The sequence below is a fragment of the Homo sapiens genome, chromosome 2, assembly GCF_000001405.40.
Source record: "Homo sapiens chromosome 2, GRCh38.p14 Primary Assembly".
NCBI classification, from domain to species: domain Eukaryota; kingdom Metazoa; phylum Chordata; class Mammalia; order Primates; family Hominidae; genus Homo; species Homo sapiens.
The window spans coordinates 98,754,652-98,774,381 of NC_000002.12; the positions used below are offsets into that span (position 1 = coordinate 98,754,652).

The 19,730-nt window shown below is 46.2% G+C and overlaps 1 long non-coding RNA gene across 1 annotated transcript, besides 4 other annotated features; it reads right to left on the minus strand.

The window, feature by feature from the left end:
- Window positions 1–6,411: 6,411 nt before the first annotated feature.
- Window positions 6,412–17,247, minus strand: LINC02611 (long intergenic non-protein coding RNA 2611). The gene is made up of 4 exons (NR_126337.1): window positions 16,968–17,247; window positions 14,251–14,395; window positions 13,960–14,135; window positions 6,412–7,927 (listed from the first exon to the last, which is right to left on the minus strand). It is a non-coding gene; the product is annotated as a long intergenic non-protein coding RNA 2611 (long non-coding RNA).
- Window positions 15,588–16,088: an enhancer, noted in NCBI's record as "H3K4me1 hESC enhancer chr2:99386702-99387202 (GRCh37/hg19 assembly coordinates)". NCBI's record gives its function as "activates a minimal SCP1, AML or CMV promoter by ChIP-STARR-seq in primed H9 embryonic stem cells {active_cell/tissue: H9 hESC(primed)}" and the evidence as "EXISTENCE:reporter gene assay evidence [ECO:0000049][PMID:30033119]".
- Window positions 16,089–16,589: an enhancer, noted in NCBI's record as "H3K4me1 hESC enhancer chr2:99387203-99387703 (GRCh37/hg19 assembly coordinates)". NCBI's record gives its function as "activates a minimal SCP1, AML or CMV promoter by ChIP-STARR-seq in primed H9 embryonic stem cells {active_cell/tissue: H9 hESC(primed)}" and the evidence as "EXISTENCE:reporter gene assay evidence [ECO:0000049][PMID:30033119]".
- Window positions 18,726–19,226: an enhancer, noted in NCBI's record as "H3K4me1 hESC enhancer chr2:99389840-99390340 (GRCh37/hg19 assembly coordinates)". NCBI's record gives its function as "activates a minimal SCP1, AML or CMV promoter by ChIP-STARR-seq in naive H9 embryonic stem cells {active_cell/tissue: H9 hESC(naive)}" and the evidence as "EXISTENCE:reporter gene assay evidence [ECO:0000049][PMID:30033119]".
- Window positions 19,227–19,727: an enhancer, noted in NCBI's record as "H3K4me1 hESC enhancer chr2:99390341-99390841 (GRCh37/hg19 assembly coordinates)". NCBI's record gives its function as "activates a minimal SCP1, AML or CMV promoter by ChIP-STARR-seq in primed H9 embryonic stem cells {active_cell/tissue: H9 hESC(primed)}" and the evidence as "EXISTENCE:reporter gene assay evidence [ECO:0000049][PMID:30033119]".

Here is a 19,730-nt window from a genome sequence, read left to right on the forward strand (position 1 = left end):
GAAACAGAAAGAACAAGAAGCACCTCCCGCAAGGTGCAGCTCTTCACTGCAGCCTTAAACTCTCCTCCCACATGGGGTTGCCCTCCTGACTCTTGGTCTGAACAAGGAAAGCAGAAAGATGAAAAGCCCAAAGCTGGGTATCCGCATCTCCGTGCCTTGGACATAAATCGGTGTACACACTATAAGAAAACTGGCCATTGGAAGGGGGACTGCCCAGCGCTCCAAAGGGGGCCATCAGCACCCAAATTAATGATGGCCGAAATAGCCAGGCAAGCCCAAGAGTGACGGGGCCTGGGACCTTCTGCCACAACTCCCATTGGACAACTAGCCATATCTCCGAAGGAGCCCTGGGTAACCCTCGACGTGGCAGGTAAGACTGTTAACTTGCTTTTGGACATGGGGGCTGCTTGCTCTGTTTTGACCCATTATAATGGGATTCTGTCACCCCAAAACTGTATGGTCACGGGGATAGATGGACAAGCCCATAAATGCCATTTTACCTATCCCTTAACAACTTTGGTTTTCTCACATGCCTTTCTTATCATACCTGAATGCTTCACCCCCTTGTTGGGAAGGGATTGTTAACTGAATTGCAAACAGTGGTATCTTTTGGAAATCAAAAGACAGACTAGGGGTTGTTCCTTCTCCTTTCCTTTGTTAAGGGAGGAGAGTCAAAGGGGCTTACCTACTTTACCTGTTGAAGTAACCTCCCAAGTAAATCCTATAGTATGGGTCACTAAAGTTACAGGCAAAATGCTAAACCTTCCCCCAGTTTGCATCCAACTTAAGCCTGGTGTCCCACACCCATGGAAGAGACAATACCCCTTAAAGCCAGAGACATAAAGAGGGATCCAACCACTAATTGCTAAGTTTTTGCAGTTTGGGTTGTTAAGGCCCTGTGAATCTCCTTGTCATACACCAATCTTGCCAGTTAAAAAGCCAAATGGAGACTACAGATTTGTTCAAGATCTTTGAGCTGTCAATGAGACTATCATTCCTATACATACTACAGTGCCCAATCCCTACACGCTGTTAGCCCAGGGACCTTTTTTTTTGCATTCCAGTACACCCTGATTCACAATTCATCTTTACTTTTGAAAAGACTGATACTGATAGCCATTTAGTTTCTTAATTAACTTGGACAGTTCTTCCCCAGGGGTCTAGGGACAACCCTAATCTGTTTAAAAATGCACTACCTAGAGAATTTAAAATGGTACAATTAAGTAAAAACACTATTACCCAATAGGTGAGTGACTTGTTGGTTACTAGCTCAACTAAAAGAAACTTGGACAAAAATACCATTCAGTTACTAAACTTTCTGGGAACTAGTAAGTACAGGGTCTCACCACACAAAGCCCAGATTTCAACTCAAGAGATTAAATACTCAGAATAAGTTCCAACCCCTGACAATAACACCAGAATGAAGGGAAACTATCTTGGACATTCCAAAACCCCAAACTAGAAAACACCTGTGGACTTTCCTAGGGATGGCAGGATTCTGCTCTTTATGGGTAGTTGGATTTGGGCATATAGGCAAGCCTTTTGATGAGACTCTGAAAGGAGCAGATGTAGGTCCTTTTGAATGGGATAGTAATTGTGAACAGGTTTTTAAAACTCTCAAGGAGAAATTGGGATCAACCCCAGCCCTAGGGATCCCTAATTTTGATAAGCCGCTTTTCCTTTATATGACTGAAAAACAAAGCACTGCCCTAGGTGTCTTTGTCCAGAAATTGGGAGCTATTCCCTGACCAGTGACATATTTTTCTAAACGACTAGACCATGTCACTTCAAGATGGCCTGGATACCTCAGGGCAGTTGCAGCAACTGCCTTAGTAGATGAAACAATAAACTGGCTTTAAGACAACATCTGGAGGTTTTAACCCCACACCAAGTACAAGGAGTCCTAGAAACTAAAAGACACCAGTGGATGACAGGGGGACTCATTAAAATATCAGGCTTTATTGCTAGACACTCCTGATGTAACTCTTAAAGTATGGCATACTTTAAATCTAGCTACTCACTTGCCTGAACCTACAGGCACCCTAGATCATTCTCGTATACAAGTTATGGAGCAAATTTACTCCATGGAAAATCTCGGCTCACTGCAACCTCTGCCTCTCAGGTTCAAGCAAGTCTCCTGCTTCAGCCTCCCGAGTAGCTGGGATTACAGGCATGTGCCACCATGCCCAGCTAATTTTGTATTTTTAATAGAGACTGGGTTTCACCATGTTGGTTAGGCTGGTCTTGAACTCCTGACCTCAGGTGATCCACCCACCTCGGCCTCCCAAAATGCTGGGATTACAGGTGCGAGCCACCACACCCGGCCCATCACATTCTTTAAAAAAGCAGAGAAATGAGTGACACATTCTTGAAAACTTTCCATTACGAATGGATGAAACCTAAGATTAGTTATTTAAGGTTTCTCAGATGGGAAACCTAGCTTCCTAGGGTGGCTTATTCTTGGAGACTCCAGACAGTGAATGTTTTACTAGGCTGTGTGTTCACTCCATTTGTTATTTTCTTAATTTGTTCATTTTTAAAGGCAAGTGATGCTATCAAACTTCATTCTATATGTCTATACTACTGATTTCTGTTGACTTACCCCTCACTTCCCCCTATCTTCAATGGCTAGTTACTGTTTTAACCCCATACTGGGTTGTCTCTTTTATTCATTTACTCTTGCACCCTCCTCTATCATCACTGATGAAAATTTAAGCTATATTGGCCCAAGATCAGCCTTTGAAAACATTCTTTGTGTGTTCTCTCATGCCAACATCAGGACCGTATTTTTCTGGTTGTTGAGTGATTTATGTGAGATGAGTTTAAACCTCTTGCTGAAGTTAAGATGTATCATGTAAATGACAACCTTTGATTTATCAAACTTAGTAATTAAAGTTTCCTAATGCAACAGGATGTGCTCTTCCCATAGCCATACTGAAGAGTACTTCATGTTTATTCTTTGGAAGGGTTAAGCAGTGAGACAGCCACGGGTGCTCGGATCAGACATTTTCGTTTGTGAGGGTTGGAGAATGATTTTCTCCTGTTTCTTATCATTAGCTACCTTGCGAACTCTCCTAAAGCTACTGAAATAATGGCAATGGTTTAGACGCCCTGCATCTCCAGGGCTTGTGGTTTGTGCACATCTCTCGTCTAAATAAATATAAATATTTTCTCTGTTTCTATTTTATCTTCCCCAAATTCCTGGTTCTGGTGTTGCAACTTCATAAAACCCAGAGCCCACATGGCAGTACCAGCTGCTAGCCCAGGTCAAACTTGGGGAGGGCAGCTGCTTTCCAGGTGCACCCTGTGTGATCCTGACTTCCTCCTGACAGTGCCAGGAACGCCCGTGAACTGCTTTCGTGGTTGCATGTGAAAACTTTTGCATTTCTAGAAATCTCTTCTCCAGCAGGCTGGGCTATTGGCTGCTGTGGGATTGCTAGCTGGTCTAGACCCAGCCCCTCCTTCAGGCTTTTCCCACCCGCTGCTCCTCTCCTGGCCTTGGGCCTCATGCCCGAGTCTCCAGCCGCCACCTTGCTGTTGCTTTACTGTTTCTCCGTGATGCTGTTTCTAGCTAGTTATAATTGGCAGGCAACCAGAAGCCTCATCTGCCAAGGGCGGAAGTCATGTCTGGAACAGGTTTCCCTCTTAAGACTGTGGGCTAACCCAGCATCTTGCCACTTTGTGTGGGACTTCCTCATTCTTAGTACATAACTGTGTTTGACCCTCAGGGATGACTAGTGTTTCCTGGCCTCGGTACAGTTGACTTCTCCAGAAACTATCTGGCTCACTCTCAATTTCCTGGAGCCGTATATCCTAATTACAAAAATGGGAAAATCATACCTAGAGTCCCATAGAAAGAGAAATAGAACCCCCATATGTGCCTACAATTCATCCATTCTCAATTCATTATTTTAAAAATGTAGCTGATGGTTTGGTTCTGAGACCAGACGGTACAAAAATTACCATTCACTCATAGTAGGGCCATCAACTACCATAATCTTTTGGAAAAGTAATTTAGCAATATAAGTCAGGACCACTTAAAAAACCCTTAGAGTTGCTCATTCCACTCTTAGGAACTTATCCTAAAGACGTCAACAGATGTGGACCAAAATTTGTGTGCAAGAATATTATGTAGAATTTCTGTATTGAGAAAATTTGGAGACAGCCTAGCTGTCCAAAAATAGGACTAAATAAAACATGGTACAGCAATATAGTGAAATATTATTATATAACCATTAAGTTATGTTCTTCAACAGTATTTTTAAAATAAGGAAAATTCCAACGTTTTTGAGGAGTCTTTTTAAAAACGAGAGTACAGACCAGGCACAGTGGTACACACTTACAATCCCAGCACTCTGGGAGGCCAAGGCAAGTGGATCACTTGAGGCCAGGAGCTGGAGACCAGCCTGGGCAACACAGTGAGACCCTGTCTCTACAAAAAATACAAAAAATTAACCAGGTGTGTTGGTGCACACCTGTGGTCCCAGCTACTTGGGAGGCTGAGGTGGGAGGATTGCTTGAGCCCAGGAGTTTGAGGCTGTAGTGAGCTGTGATGCCACCACTGCACTCCAGCCTGGGTGACAGAGTGAGATCCTGTCTCAAAATAAAATAGAATGTAAAAAGAGCACATGCATGAAAAGTGGAACACAACACTTTAGGTAATAATATTATCCCAATCACATAGGTGTGCTTAGTGCAAACAAAAACATTCATAGTATTTATCTCTGGTGGTAGAATTACTGGCGATTTAAAAAAAAATACATTTTTTTCTGAATATTCCAAGTGTTCTACAATGAATGTGTTACTTTCCTAATCAGAAAAACAACTGTTATTTGTTAAAAGAAATTAGACCACAAAAAAAGCAAAAACACAAAGGCCTTGCCTATTTTTTTTCCCCCTGTTTTACCACATCCTTTCTCACTGATGTAGAAAAAAAAGGAACTAATATTTATGGTGCCAAGAATGTAAATCCGTCCTGTAACTTGGAAGGTACATGTGTATCTTTCCCATTTTAAAGGTAATAAAGTCACCAAAGAAAAGGGTGGCAAAAATAAAATGTGAATGCAGGCCCATTGGCCCCAAAGGCATCTTCTTCTCACGTCTACACTGTCCCACTCGTGATAGTTTTAAGTTGCATGTTATTCTGTACCTGGCCTTTTTAATTTTATCAAAATAAACTTCCCTTTGGTAACAAAGATATTCTACTTTCTGTAAAATTTTCATTCCAGCTAACTTTTGTTAGCTAAGATTTTGTCTAAGGAGTACCAATGCTTTGAATAATCATACTAAAAATATAGCCTAATTGGTCTGAATGAAATTGAACAACTGCAATTGTTCAAACAAGCTGGATGCAGCATTTTTGCACGTGCCTAGTCATTTTGCTACAGTAGTCATTGCAAACGAGTGCCTGAGACACAAATCTCAGAGAAGTCATGGTTTTGAGGGATCAACTTGGAGAAGCTGCCATCTCCTCCGTCCCTCTGAGAACATCCTCCTAGCTGGTGGCATTAGCATTCTGCCTGCCCAGGTGAAGGCCTGGCAGGTTGTAGGAAGCCTCCCGTGGGAGCTGACCAGACCCTGAATACCCCTTCTGCATCACCCCAAATTGAATATGGTTATGCAAACAGCCTTTAACAATCCTTGTCATCTGGATCTGAGATACAACTTTAATGATTTCACATATGTCATCTTGCCACTTGCCTGCACCCATAGATCCCCTGCTGTTGTGTGACAGTGACCACTGTGCCGTGCTTGTCTGTTACCCTATGACCGAGGAGGAACTGAGAAGACATATCATTCCTCAACATTATGATAAGGAAATGGGGACCAGAGGAGTTAAGCAATTTGCCCAAGGCCATGCAGCTTGAAGTGCATGTGTCAGAGCTGCTGCCTGTTTTTGTGTTTTGTTTTGTTTTTTTTTATTGTTGTCTGTTTTTTTTTTGAGACAGAGTTTCCCTCTTGTCTCCCAGGCTGGAGTGCAATGGTGCAACCTCGGCTCACTGCAACTCTGCCTCCTGAGGTTCAAGCAGTTCTCCTGCCTCAGCCTCCCGAGTAGCTGGGATTACAGGCGCCTGCCACCACTCCTGGCTAATATTTGTATTTTTAACAGGGACAGGATTTCACCCTGTTGGGCAGGGTGGTCTCGAACTCTTGACCTCATATGATCTGCCCGCCTCGGCCTCCCAAAGTGCTGGGATTACAGGCATGAGCCACCACGCCTGGCGGCTTTTGAGCACTTACATTGTGGCTGTCTGAAATGAGATGTGTTCTAAGAGTGAATTATGCCCTGGACTTCCAAGACGTGTTTTGAAAAAATATGCATAATATCTCATCAGTAATTTTTATATCAATGGCATATTTAAATGTTCATTTTGGATATACTGAGTTAAATAAAATATACCATTAAATTTAATTTCAGTCTCTTTTTTATTTTTCTCTTTTTTAATGTGGTTACTAGGAAATCTTAAATTACAAATGTGGCTTGCATTGAATTTCTGTTAGCAGCAATGTCTGAGAACTGTTTTTCTCATCTGTTAAATGATGTTAACAATGAGAACACCCATAAAGTTCCCAAGACAGTAAGTGTCCTATACATGTTTATGTTCTTCCCCCATCACTTTTTCTCAGCAGAACACTCAAGCCTCCTGACTTTCATTTCATGATCCAGATACATTCAAAACCATTGTTCCATTTCCATCCAGATTTCTCCTGAGTAAGGGCTTTTTTTTTTCAGTCATGTGTCACTTGAAATCTTATGATTACAGTTTGTAAATAGCAAGTCAGAAGTTGGAAACTCAGCCAAGATTCTGAAACTGCCTTGCCTAAAGCAGAGGCATCAGAGAATGCACCTATTCATAAACCCGTCCCAGGCGCTTGTGAAAAGATACACTGACATTTAGGCAGGAAATGCACACAAGGTAATTCATTCCTATTGAAGCTCACTGAGCATCAATCTGGTTGCGATATGAATTATTCATGTCCCCCCCCACCCCGCCGCCGCTGCCACGCCAGCCTCATGTTCAAGGCTGATGTCAGTGCAGGACCCATAGCTCCTCTCTCTAGGCCCTTTCCCGGGCAGCTGTGCACAGATCAACACCCCGTCCTAGAGCCAGCTCTCATTCTCTCTGTGGTGAGGGCTCACCTACACGGACCCAGAGGCTGCGATCGACACCTGATGGGCCACTACAATTCAATTTTCTTGTCCATCTGCTAGAAGACAGATGAATTCATCCAACAGCCAGCCCAGGACTCCAGAGGAAACAACTTGAGATAATTTATGAATTGATTTATGCCACTTCTCTTTCCACAAAGAATGTATGGTGGCTGCATAATATGCCTTTTGTTGAACTTACCAAATCGTTCTCTCATTTCATGTTGTGGACGTCCTAGTAGGGAGTGATAAATGCATATGCTATAAGGCCCAAACAGTTATGCTGATGGGGAGCAAGGAGCAAGCGACAGGGAGTGGTGGAGACTGTGTCCAACGGAAGAGCACCTGACCCACCTGCAGGGGCAGCCGCTGCCCATCCAAGCTGGTCGTTGCCTGTGATGATGCTCTTGGTGTTGCAAATCCTCTGATTTGTTACAAAAGGTCAGATTCCCAGATTTTAATTTGGAGATCTCCTAATTTTTGAAGTGTGGGGCTGAATAAACCTGCCTATTGGTCCAATTCAGCCAGCCAGTTGATAGTCCCTGATCTTGTTTGTTTGCTTGTATAAATGGCAGGCTTTCATGCCAAGGATTCTAACTTCATGTTCTTTTTTATTCCCTCTACCCTTCATCCCTCCTTCCACAGTACATAGCATTTATACCAATTATGATTTTCAGAATTAGACACCAATTTACCATCCTCATAGTTGCTCCGGATGCATCTTTTTTGTTATTTCCTTTTGTGTCCTCCTCCTTTTTTCTCGAAGTTCTCCAGACTCTGAGAGAGGAGGGGAAGCGAGAACAGGAGTCGATAATGGCCCTTTTCCAGCCACACACCCTCATCTGTAAGAAAATGTGGCTGAGTCTCCCTCTCCACGCTTTATCTTCTGTGTTGCCGAAGCATTGCCAGAATGTCAGGGCTCAGGAGAAAAGAGGGGAAGGATGCCAGATGAGGGTCTGGAAGGTCTCTCCTTTGTTGTAAGGCAGCAGTGGAGCAGTTAAAGGCATGAGGGACCTGCCTCCATACATCCTCTGCCAGGCGTGACTGAACTCCCACCCGCCTCCCCATGTGCCTCCCAACGGTGGGACACTTTCTTTTCTGGGGCTTGCCACTGCCTCCTAATGATCTCCCCCATTCAACTAGATACTTTGTCTTTGATGACAAGCCCTGGGGTCCCAAAGAAACCTGGGCTATATGCACAAGTAACCAGAATCCGCGAGTCAAATTCAGTTTCAGTAATTGGCTATTTGAGTCTAAGGGGTAGTTTGTTTAGTTCTTTGTTTTTTCTTTTTCGTTTCCTATAGTATTGATAAAGACACAGATTAGGCCAGGTGTGGCAACTCACACCAGTAATCCCAGGGCTTTGGGAGGCTGAGGCAGGAGGATCGCTTGAGCCCCAGAGTTTGAGGTCAGCCTGGGCAACTAACAAGAGACCCAGCTCTACAAAAACTTTAAAAATTAGCCAGGTGGTGTGGTGAGTACATATGGCCCCAGCCACATGAGAGGCTGAGGCCAGAGGATCATCTGAGGCCAGAAGTTCAAGGCTGCAGTGAGCCCGGATGGCACCACTGCACTCCAACCTGGGCAGCAGAGTGAGACGCTAGTCTCAAAAAAAAAAAAAAAAAAAAAAAAAGATGCAAATTGACCTATGTGACAGGAAGCAGGTCCAGACGACTGTTTTTCAATTGACAAATAGAAATTATATATATTTATGATGTACTACGTGTTTTATATATGTTTACATTGTGAAATGACTAAATCACACTAATTAACATATGCAATCTACTCTCAGCACATTTCAAGCATACAATACATTGTTATTAACTATAGACACCGTGCTGTATAATAGACCTCTTGAACTTCTGCCTAACTGAAAATTGGTATTCTCTGGCCATTAAAGGCATTCCCCATCACCTCTGCCCTGACTCCCTGTTAACCACCATTCCACTTTGCTGTTATGAGTTTGAGGTTTTTAGGTTTCTCTTATGAATGAAATAATGTGGTATTTCCCTTTCTGTGCCTAGCTTATTTCACTTAGCAAAATGTCCACAGCTTCATCCACGTTGTTGTAAATAACAGGATTCCCTTGTTTTCTAAGGCTGAATAGCATTTCATTGCATTTATATACCACATTTTAAAAATCCATTTATCCATTGATACACACATAGGTTGATTTTATATCTTGGCTATTGTGCATAATGCTGCAGTGAACATGTAAGTGCAGATAACTCTTTGCCATGCTGATTTCTTTTCAGAAATCAATCAAAAAGAAAATTTTGAAACAGGATCTTATTCTGTTATCCAGGCTGGAGTGCGGTGGCATGCTTAGGGCTCACTGCAGCCTCGACCTCCCAAGTTCAGGCAATCCTCCTGCCTCAGCCTTCTGAGTAGCTGAGACCACAGGTGTGCACCACCAAACTCAGCTAATTTTTAAATTGTTAGTAGAAATGAGGTCTCCCTATGTTGCTCACCATGTTGGTCAGGCTGGTCTCAAATTCTTGACCTCAGGTGATCCACCTGCCTGAGCAACATAGGGAGACCCCTGGACTTGAACCCCTGAACTCAAATGATCCTCCTACCTCAGTTTCCCAAAGTGCTAGGATGACAGGTCTGAGCCAGCACCCCCAATCGATATACTGATTTCATTTCCTTTGGATGTGTATGGTAGTTCAATTTTTAATTTTTTGAGGAAGCTCCATACTGTTTTCCATGATAGTTATACTAATTTCCATTCCTACCAACTGTGTAGCAATGTCCCTTCTCTCCACATTTCCTTATTGGTGCTCAGAAGTCAAAATTTGAGGAACTACAGTATTAGTATAAAAAATGTTAAAGCACTTTTATGGGAATTGAAAGAAGACAGCTGCAATTTCAGGAAACTGATTAAGAAACACTTGGTCATGCAACATTTGCTCCACATTTTCAAGAATGTGTTAATCAGTTCTCCGCTTTTTAAAGAATGTGATGGGCCAGGTGTGGTGGCTCATGCCTGTAATCCCAGCAGTTCGGGAGGCCGAGGCAGGTGGATCACCTGAGGTCAAGAATTTGAGACCGGCCTGACCAACATGGTGAAACCTGGTCTCTACCAAAAATACAAAATTAGCCGGGCATGGTGGCGCATGCCTATAATCCCAGCTACTCGGGAGGCTGAGGCAGGAGACTTGCTTGAGTCTGGGAAGCGGAGGTTGCAGTGAGCCAAGATTGCGCCACTGCACTCCAGCCTGGGCAACAACAGCAAAACTCCATCTCAAAAAAAAAAAATGGGATGGGATGGGTGCAGTGGCTCATGCCTGTAATTCCAAAACTTTGAGAGGCCAAGGCAGGCAGATCCCTTGAGCTCAGGAGGTTGAGACCAGCCTGGGCAACATGGTGAAACTCTGTCTCTACAAAAAATACAAAAATTAGCCAGGCAAGATGGTACACACCTGTGGTCCCAGCTACTTGGGGGGCTGAAGCAGGAGGATTGCTTGAGCCCAGGGGGTTGAGGCTGCAGTGAGCCAAGTTGGCACCACTATACTATAGTCTGCATATCAAAGTGAAATCCTGTCTCAAAAAAAAAAAGAATGTGACAAATATAATGTAGCCTTTTATTGATGACTCGGGTCAATTACTTATGATCGGAAATTCTATTTCAGCCTGTAATCCCAGCACTTTGGGAGGCCAAAGCAGGCGGATCACTTGAGGTCAGGAATTCGAGACCAGCCCTGCCAACATGGTGAAACCCCGTCACCACTAAGAATACAAAAATTAGCTGGGCATGGTGGTGCACGCCTGTAATCCCAGCCACTCAAGAGACCGAGGCAGGAGAATCGCTTGAATGCGGGAGGTCGAGCCTGCAGTGAGCCAAGATTGCACCACTGCACTCCAGCCTGGGTGACAGAGTGAAGCACCATCTCAAAAAAAAAAAAAAAAAAATTGTATTTCAATTCAATAAGAATTTACTGAGCCTCTCTACTTTGTGCCAAGCACTACACATTGACCTTTAACCATTTTTAAATTTACTTTAAAACTAGGCCTTGAAAACATTGTGCTAAGTGAAAGACATCAGTCCCAAAGGACCATACATTTGTATCATTCCATTTATATGAAATGTCCAGAATAGGCAAGTCTGCAAAGACAGAAAGTAGATTAGTGGCTGCCTGGGGCTGGGGGTACTGGGGCACAGTGGCTAGTGTGGGGTAATGATGGTGTTCTAATGACATCTGGGGCAATGATAATGCACTGCTGATTGTAGTGGTGGATACACAACCATGAATATATTAAAAAACGACTCCGTGGTACACTGTAAATGGGTGAATCGTACGGTGTGTGAAATACATCACAATAAAGCCCGTTTTTAAACAAAGTTGTTGGCAATGTTCGGAAAACAGAAAGAGACAGCACCTGAACAAGGATGAGGAAGGGAGGACAGTGGGTGGGCCTGGCTCAAAATGATGATCAGTCCCTCTTTGTCTCCATAGGATCCTTTGCCCCTCCTGGACTAGCTTGGGACACTCTGCTACTCCACCGTCTGCTCTCCTTCCTGTCCCCATGCCTGCCTGTGACAGCTTCTATGGTATCAGCTGCTCCCCATCAGCTCTGGTTCTGGAAACCACAGAGGTTCAAGGCTGGGCTTGGGAGTCGGAAATCCCCTGGTTTTATGACAGGGGTGTGACCTGCACCAGCAATGTGACCTTGGACAAGTTTCTTCAACCTTTTTTTTTTTTTTTTGGAGACGAAGTTTTGCTCTTGTTGCCCAGGCTGAAGTGCAATGGTGCAACCTTGGCTCACTGCAACCTCCGCCTCCCAGGTTCAAGCAATTCTCCCGCCTCAGCCTCCCGAGTAGCTGGGATTACAGGCTCCCAGCACCACGCATGGCTAATTTTTTTGTATTTTTAGTAGAGACGGGGTTTCACCGTGTTGGCCAGGCTGGTCTCGAATTCCTGACCTCAGGTGATCCACTCACCTCGGCCTCCCAAAGTGTTGGAGTTTTTTTTAACCTTTTTACGCTCAACTTTTCTCATCTATAAAACAGGGATGATGATATCTACCTCATGGTGTTATGGTGAGGATTAAAGGAGATAAAGCTCAGAACGTGTCTGACTCATAGTAAGTGATCAAAAGGACTTTGTATCTGGGAAGGGGAAATCAGCAGGCTGTCAGAGAAAGTTTCACTACAGATAAAGCTGGAATCCTCAGAGCATGACCCTGGAGGTAGTTATTCTGGTTACTCAACTCGGTTAGATGTTGAGGATGTTGGTATCAATGAATGTTCCTGCCAGATGAGATGTTAACTGAATCACCAGTGTTCCTTAAAATAGTAGAAGGGGCAGGCTGGGCGCGATAGTTTATGCCTATAATCCCAGCACTTTGGGAGGCTGAGGCAGGTGGATCACAAAGTCAGGAGCTTGAGACCAGCCTGGCCAACATGGTGAAACCTCGTCTCTACCAAAAATACAAAAATTAGCCAGATGTGGTGGCTGGCGCCTGTAATCCCAGCTACTCAGGAGGCTGAGGTAGGAGAATTGCTTGCACCCGGGAGGTGGAGGTTGCAGTGAGCTGAGATCAAGCCACTGCACTCCAGCCTGGGCGGCAGAGCAAGACTCTGTCTCGGGAAAAAAAATGGTAGAAGCAGGAAAGGAACAAACACTTGCACCTATATGCCATGTGCTTGTCATTCAGCGTCTCGTTTAATCCCCAAAGTAACAATATGCCATAGGTAGGTATTGGTAGCTCTATGCTACAGATGGGAAGCCAAGGCCCACACAGCTAATCATGACGATAATGCCATTAAACACTCCTACATCGTGCTACAGTCGTGTACTCACTCATTTAATCCTCAGCAAACCCTATGTGGGAGTTGCCATTATTATCCCACTTTGCATATGAGGAAACTGAGGCACAGGAGGAATAAGTAACTCGCTGAGGTCACACATATTAAGTCGCAGATCTGAGACACAAACAGAAACAAATCTGACCCCAGAGCCCGTGTCCCCCCCATGGCTATGCTGTCCATGAACACAGCAGAGCATCCTTGTGGTGGCCACATCTAACCGTAAGAGGTGCTGTAAACAGGGCAGTCCGTGAGATGCTGTACACATTAAAAGGAGGGCAGGCTCTGGCTTCAGTCAGGCAGCTAGCTCTTTTGGGGTGACTTGAAGGGCACTAAGCCAGCTTCGCTGGGCTCTTCTAAACCTTCCTATCTGAGAATACATGCTCAGAATACCATTTTTTAGCTTAAGGCTGTTTGCAGTTTGGGGTTTATTAAAATGTCCCTTAGCTGGGCACAGTGGCTCACACCTGTAATCCCAGAACTTTGGGAGGCCAAGGTAGGAAGATCACCTGAGGTCGGGAGTTTGAGACCAGCCTGGCCAACATGGTGAAACCCCGTCTCTACTAAAAAATACAAAAATTAACAGGGTGTGGTGGCGGGCCCCTGTAATCTCAGCTACTCGGGAGGCAGAGGCAGGAGAATTACTTAAAGCCAGGAGGCAGAGGTTGCAGTGAGCTGAGATTGCACCACTGCACTCCAGCCTGGGTGACAGAGGGAGACTCTGTCACAAAACAAAACACAAATAAAATGTCTCTTAACAGCTGTTAGTCACTGCAAGGATGTGGGTGGCTGAATTTCCAATCTTACCCTGGCTTTTTTTCCCCCTCACACAGTTTTGGTAGCAGAGAAGAGAGGAAGATCTTGAAGGTCCTGATGAGGCCAGGTGAATTCTAAGAACCTTGGGCCTCATCTCCCTCCCACTCTGCCCTCACAAGGCTGGCTCAGTCTTGATAGCTGATGTGTAGAGTGTGTGGGAGAAGGTCGGGCTGGGACTCACTCTGGTCAGATCCATCTGTCTTCTCATCTCCAAGGCTGCTGTGATGGGAACAGCAGGAATCTCTTCGCCGCTGTGTCTACCCCAGTGTGGTTATTCAATGTTGGTGGCCTCTAAATGCTAGAAAAAGGACATTTTCTTCCTTGCAGACATCCTGGGATAAAGGAAGACAGTGGTTCCTAAGGGCATCAGACACGGTGGGAGGGAAGGGTGCAGATGGCATGTTAGTTTGTGTTGGCTGCCAAAGCAAATACCACAGACCACATGACTTAAAACAGAAATTTATTTTCTCACAGTTCTGGAGGCTGGAAGTCCGAGTTCAAAGAGTCAGCAGGACTGGTTTCCTCTGAGGCCTCTCGCCCTGGCCTGTAGCTGCTATCCTCTCCCTGCATCTCCACGTGGTCATCCCTCTGTGTGTGTCTGTGTCCAAATTTTTTTCCTATAAGGAGAGCAGTCATATTGAAGTAAGGACCAGTCCATTTTAATTTAGTCACCTTTAAAGGCCCTATTTCCAAATGCAGTCACATTGTGGATGTCTGGAGGTTAGGGTTTCAACATTTGAATCTTGGAGGGACAGAATTCAGCCCGTAACAGATGGTGAGGGGGACAAGCTCCTTCTGCCACTTGCAGAGAATATCAAGATCACATGCACCTGCCAGAAATTCCCCGGGAGAAGGGTTCATCCTTCCACCCCGGAGGATTTCCAGGCCCCGGGTGCCCTGCAGGGCAGAGGCACAGCCGTGGGCTCACTGCTGGCCACTCCAAGATGCCTGGGTGCCTGGGCCAGGTTCAGGTTTATTTGAACAGGAGACCCGGAAGGGAGCAGAGGCTCTTTCTCTGCTCTGCAGTTATGAAACATACTTAGGGGAAAATCAAACTCCATGCTAATTTAATAGTTATTAATAATTGATAACACCCATTCCTCGAGGATTGTTTGCACAGTGCTTGGAGGCCTGAGAATTGGTGATAATGAAATTTTAGCATAAGATAAAATTGGGTTAAGGGTTTTTCTGCCTCTGTTTAAAATGTTCCTGTATAAAATATTCATTTTAGGTTATAAACTAATAAACAAATATGTCCCCCATATGCTCCCATGTGTGAAAATCTAACGTGATAATGAAAGTAAAAATAGTAATAAACAAATGATAGGAAAATGATCATTTGCTACACAATGAATAAATTATTAGAGTAATAGATTAACATGAAGAACAGGTACAGGGTGGGAAGGGGAAGGGCTTGGCATCTACGGCCCGCTCTGTGGTTTGTGTGGACATGTGACTCGGTGCCAGCAGCTCTTTCCTTTGTCCTTCCAGCAGGTGTTATTAAGCAGGGATGACTTGACAGTTGCCGGGCTGGTCTCACCAGAACCAGGCAGATGCGCTTCGCCCGCGTTCCTGACTCCCCCTCCTTCCCGTCTCTTCTCTTTTCAAATGACGCCATTTATGCAAGAGGGGGCAAAAGGTGAAATGCAAACCCTTTGAGTTAGCCCTGATAAAATCTCCTCATTTCAAATCCTGCTGGCAAAGCCGCCTGCAGCCTCCCTCCGCGCCCCTCTGGTCGCTTGTTCTTCTACCCAATCCCTAGGGATCATGCCCATCAGGGTTCATCCTAGAGCTCCTGCTCTTCTCTACAGCACATTCTCATAGCCTTGGAAAATGCCTCTACTGACAACTCCCAACTTATATTCCACGCCAAGACCTTCCTCGGAGCCCCAGCCTCACACATGCCCACGCCCCTGCCCCCCGCCCCCCCCCCCCACCCCCGCCCCGAGGTCTTCTTGACATCTCTGCTTGGTGACGTGCAGGCTTCTCAATCTCCCTGCTCCTCCCTCCGCCTCAGTAAATGCTGGCCCAGGCTGCTCGCTTGCTCAAGACACAACCCCAAGAGGCGTCCTTGATGCTTCCTTTTCCCTCACTCCCCATATCCAACCCATCCATGAGTTCTTTCGGTTCCACCTTAAAAATACCCCTAGGGGCCGGGCGCGGTGGCTCACGCCTGTCATCCCAGCACTCTGGGAGGCCGAGGTGGGCGGATCATGAGGTCAGGAGATCGAGACCATCCTGGCTAACACGGTGAAACCCCATCTCTACCAAACACACACACACACACACACACACACACACACACACACACACACACGAAATTAGCCGGGCGTGGTGGTGGGCGCCTGTAGTCCCAGCTACTCAGGAGGCTGAGGCAGGAGAATGATGTGAACCTGGGAGGCGGAGCTTGCAGTGAGCCAGGATCGCGCCACCGCACTCCAGCCTGGGTGACAGAGCAAGACTCCGTCTCAAAAAAAAAAAAAAAAAAATACCCCTGGGGTCTGCCCACTTCCGTCCATCTTCCCGGTCATCACATGGGTCCTGTCACTGTCACCTCTGGCTGAGATTTGTGCAGTAGCCTCCCAGTGGATCTCCCACTGTCACTTTGCCTGCCCAACCAGCAGATAGAGTGATTTAGAAAGAATAAGTAGATCATGTAACGCCACTCCCAACCCCAGTCTGCACAAAGCTTTTCAGTGAGTTCCTGTCGCACTTAGAATAACACCCACGCTTCTTACTGCACAGAGACCCCGACTGAGCCGCCCCACCTGTCTGTGCAGCCCTGTCTTGACCTGTTCTTCCCTCTCCTATGACATTTCTGGCTGGATTGATCTCTAACGATCCCCTAGGACTTTATTTAATACTCTAAGTGAGATCTGGATCAGGCACCTCAGCATTACCTGGAGCTTGTTAGAAATCTCAAGCCCTCTCCAGACCTACTGAATCAGGAATCAGGATTTCAGCAAGATCCCTGGGTGATTCAAATGCAAATTAAGGCTTGAGAAGCTCTGCTGCAGCTCAGAGCACAGCAGGCCCTTTCCACCCCAGGGCCTTTGCACATGCTCCTCTTTCCCCGGTTCCTCATACAGCTTGCTCCTAGGATACCTCTGGAAATGGATGTGATGAACCATGGCTGCTTCTGGGGAGAGAAACAGGGAAGCTGGCATTGGGGATGGGAGGGAGAATTACCTTTTATTGTGTACTCTCATTCATCTTCAAACAAACAAGCCATTTTAACAGCTGTTTTTCAGCCTTCAGTTCTATTTACAGCCACTATGAAAAGTAACCTCCCTTCCTTCCTTGGTGTCACAGTGTCCTTTGTTTCCTCCATGGTGTTCATCGTAATTTGGTGATCGTGATGTTTCTTCGCTGATGTCTCACTTCTGCCATCAGCATGCAGGAAGTGAAGATGTTGTCTTGTTCACCCCCCTGCATCCACCAGCTTTAGATCCATGCTGCACACAGGAAGCTCTGAAATGCTGACAAAATGAGCTTCTCTGAAATCTTACATTCAGATGCTCCTCCCTGCCCCTTCCGTCCCTCCATGCAGTGCACCTACTAATTTGCTCCCACGACTCCTGTTTCATACCCGCGAGGGGCTCGTGTCCTGATGGCTCTGCTCTTATCTTCCAGCCTCCTTGGTTTGCATCTGTTCTGTGCTGCTTTCTTCTCTGGCTTCCACACACAGAGCAGTTGGCCTCACCTCAGTGTAACTGAGAGAAATGAAAGTCATCAGAGGCAACGCGCTCACTTCCCTGCCACAAAGCCCGCAAACCTGTCCACGTTTGCTGCTGTCTTTTTCTCCCTTCCATTTGCTAACGTGCCACTGCTCTCTTACTGAAAGTGCTCTGATCTCACTCCTCCAGTGGTGCTGGTAAACGTTTCACAACTGACTCTCTGGGAATAAAAAGGTCTGATTTGAGGAATTTGCTGGTTTCTGTGGTGTAAATACTCCCATCACAGCCAATTTCAAGCCACCAGTGAGATAACACGACACGCAGAGTTGGAAGAGATGCATAGACGTGAGTAATCACTCACATATAGCATTCTCACCACAGGGACACAATGGATGGACATTATCTCAGGGGAATAGCTATTGGTAGAAGGTAACAAACTAGGAAGAGATGAGTTTTCAGTATTTATTGCTTTGTCTCTATGTAACCTATTTAACTGTAAGTTTTCATCATTTAATTTTTAACACTGGCTGTGTTTGGCGCCTGGCTCAGAAAATTCCTGCAGATTTCACAGTCGGCTCTCCCGCCTGTGGTCGTGCCTTGCAGCCACTTTTCCACCCCTACACATTTCTCAATCACCACAGTCTGGCTTCCGCCCCACATGCCGAGGAACCTCTCCCACCTCCTTGTTGCTGACTTCCCTCTTACCTTCCTGGATCCCCAGGGGTACGGGACTCTGGGACAACCTACTCCTCCAGCTTCCACAGCCCTGCAGAGCCCGGCTTCTGCCTCTCCTCTGTCCATATGCTCCTGCTCTCTGTCCTTCCTCAATTCCTCTCCTTGATCCATCCCTTAGGGTTTCTGGCCTCAGCCCTGCCTCCCTTTGAGCTCTCTCTTGGCAACTTCAGCCGTCTCCCCGCCCAATGAACCTCTTCTCTCTGTGGGTGACACTCCATTCTCTATCCCCAGTCCCCTCCCAGGCTTTGGCCCACAGCAGGCCCTCACGGTGCATCATGACTTCAGTGAACACATGAAGGAACGGGTTGCTGAAACTATCCCTTGTCCCCTTCTCACTGGCCCCCAGTCCATCCTCCACATTTATCCAAAACCCATCTTTCTCAAATGCAAGTCTTAAGCACCACTTTTGAGCCTCTGGGAGACTGCTGCAGTGGCTCAGGGAGGCTGGGCTGGGGCCAGGCTGGGGCCAGGCTGGTGAGAGCAGAGGTGCACAGACCTGGATACATTTGTGGTGGCTTGTGGAGCGGAACCCACAGACAAGGGCACGCACCGAATGTGGAGGGTGTGTGGTGATTCCCAGGTGCCTGGCACAGGCATCCAGGCGGAGACAAAGCATTCACTGACACAGGGACTTTGAATCATTTCTGTTCTAACTTCTGACACCAAGTGTGTGGGTTTTTACCTCACACTAACCAGTTCTCCAGCTCTCCCGACACCAACTGGTTGTCCTACGATTCAATTCAGTTTTGACACCATCCATCAGCCTCAGGTCCTACAGGTTAAGAGCTCTGTCCTGCAAGGCTGCCCCCACTTCAGAGGCCAGTTGCAAGGCCTAGGCCTCCCAGACGTCTGACCAATGGACTACAAACTGGTGGTTCCCACAAACTGCTCCTCAGGTTTAGAACAGCTCACAGAACTCAGGAAAACATTTTACTTACACATACTGGTTTATGATTAGGATGTAACTCAGGGGCAGCAGAGAAGGACTGCCCTGGGCAAGGCATCGGGGTGACTGTTGCGGAGTGTCCAGGCTCTCTCTGGATGCGCCACCATCCCAGCACCTCCCTGTGCTCACCAGCCCGGAAGCTCTCCAGCCCTGTCCCTGAAGAGTTTTGTGGAGGTCACATCCCTTAGGCATGGTAGATTAAAACACTGGGCATTGGTATGTACCTCAACCTCCAGTCCTTCTCATCTCCTTGGAAGGGAGACGGGGGAGCTGAAAGTGCTAACCCTGTAGTCACGAGGTTGGTTCCTGTGGCAACCACTCCCACCTGAGGCTCTCTAGGAGCTCACTATAAACTCAGGTATGGTTAGAAGGGGCTCATCTTGAATAACAAAAGACATTCCTCTCACCCTCATCTCTTAGGAAATCCCAAGGCTTTTAGAGTTCTCGTGCCAGAACCAGGGTGGAGAATCAAATGTATCTCTTATGACAATGACACAGGGACTGTCATAGGAAGAGCAGATTTGTGTGCAGGGGAGGTGTCTAGATGTACAGGTGCCTACTGGACTTCCAGAGACCAGGGGAGGCACATGGCGT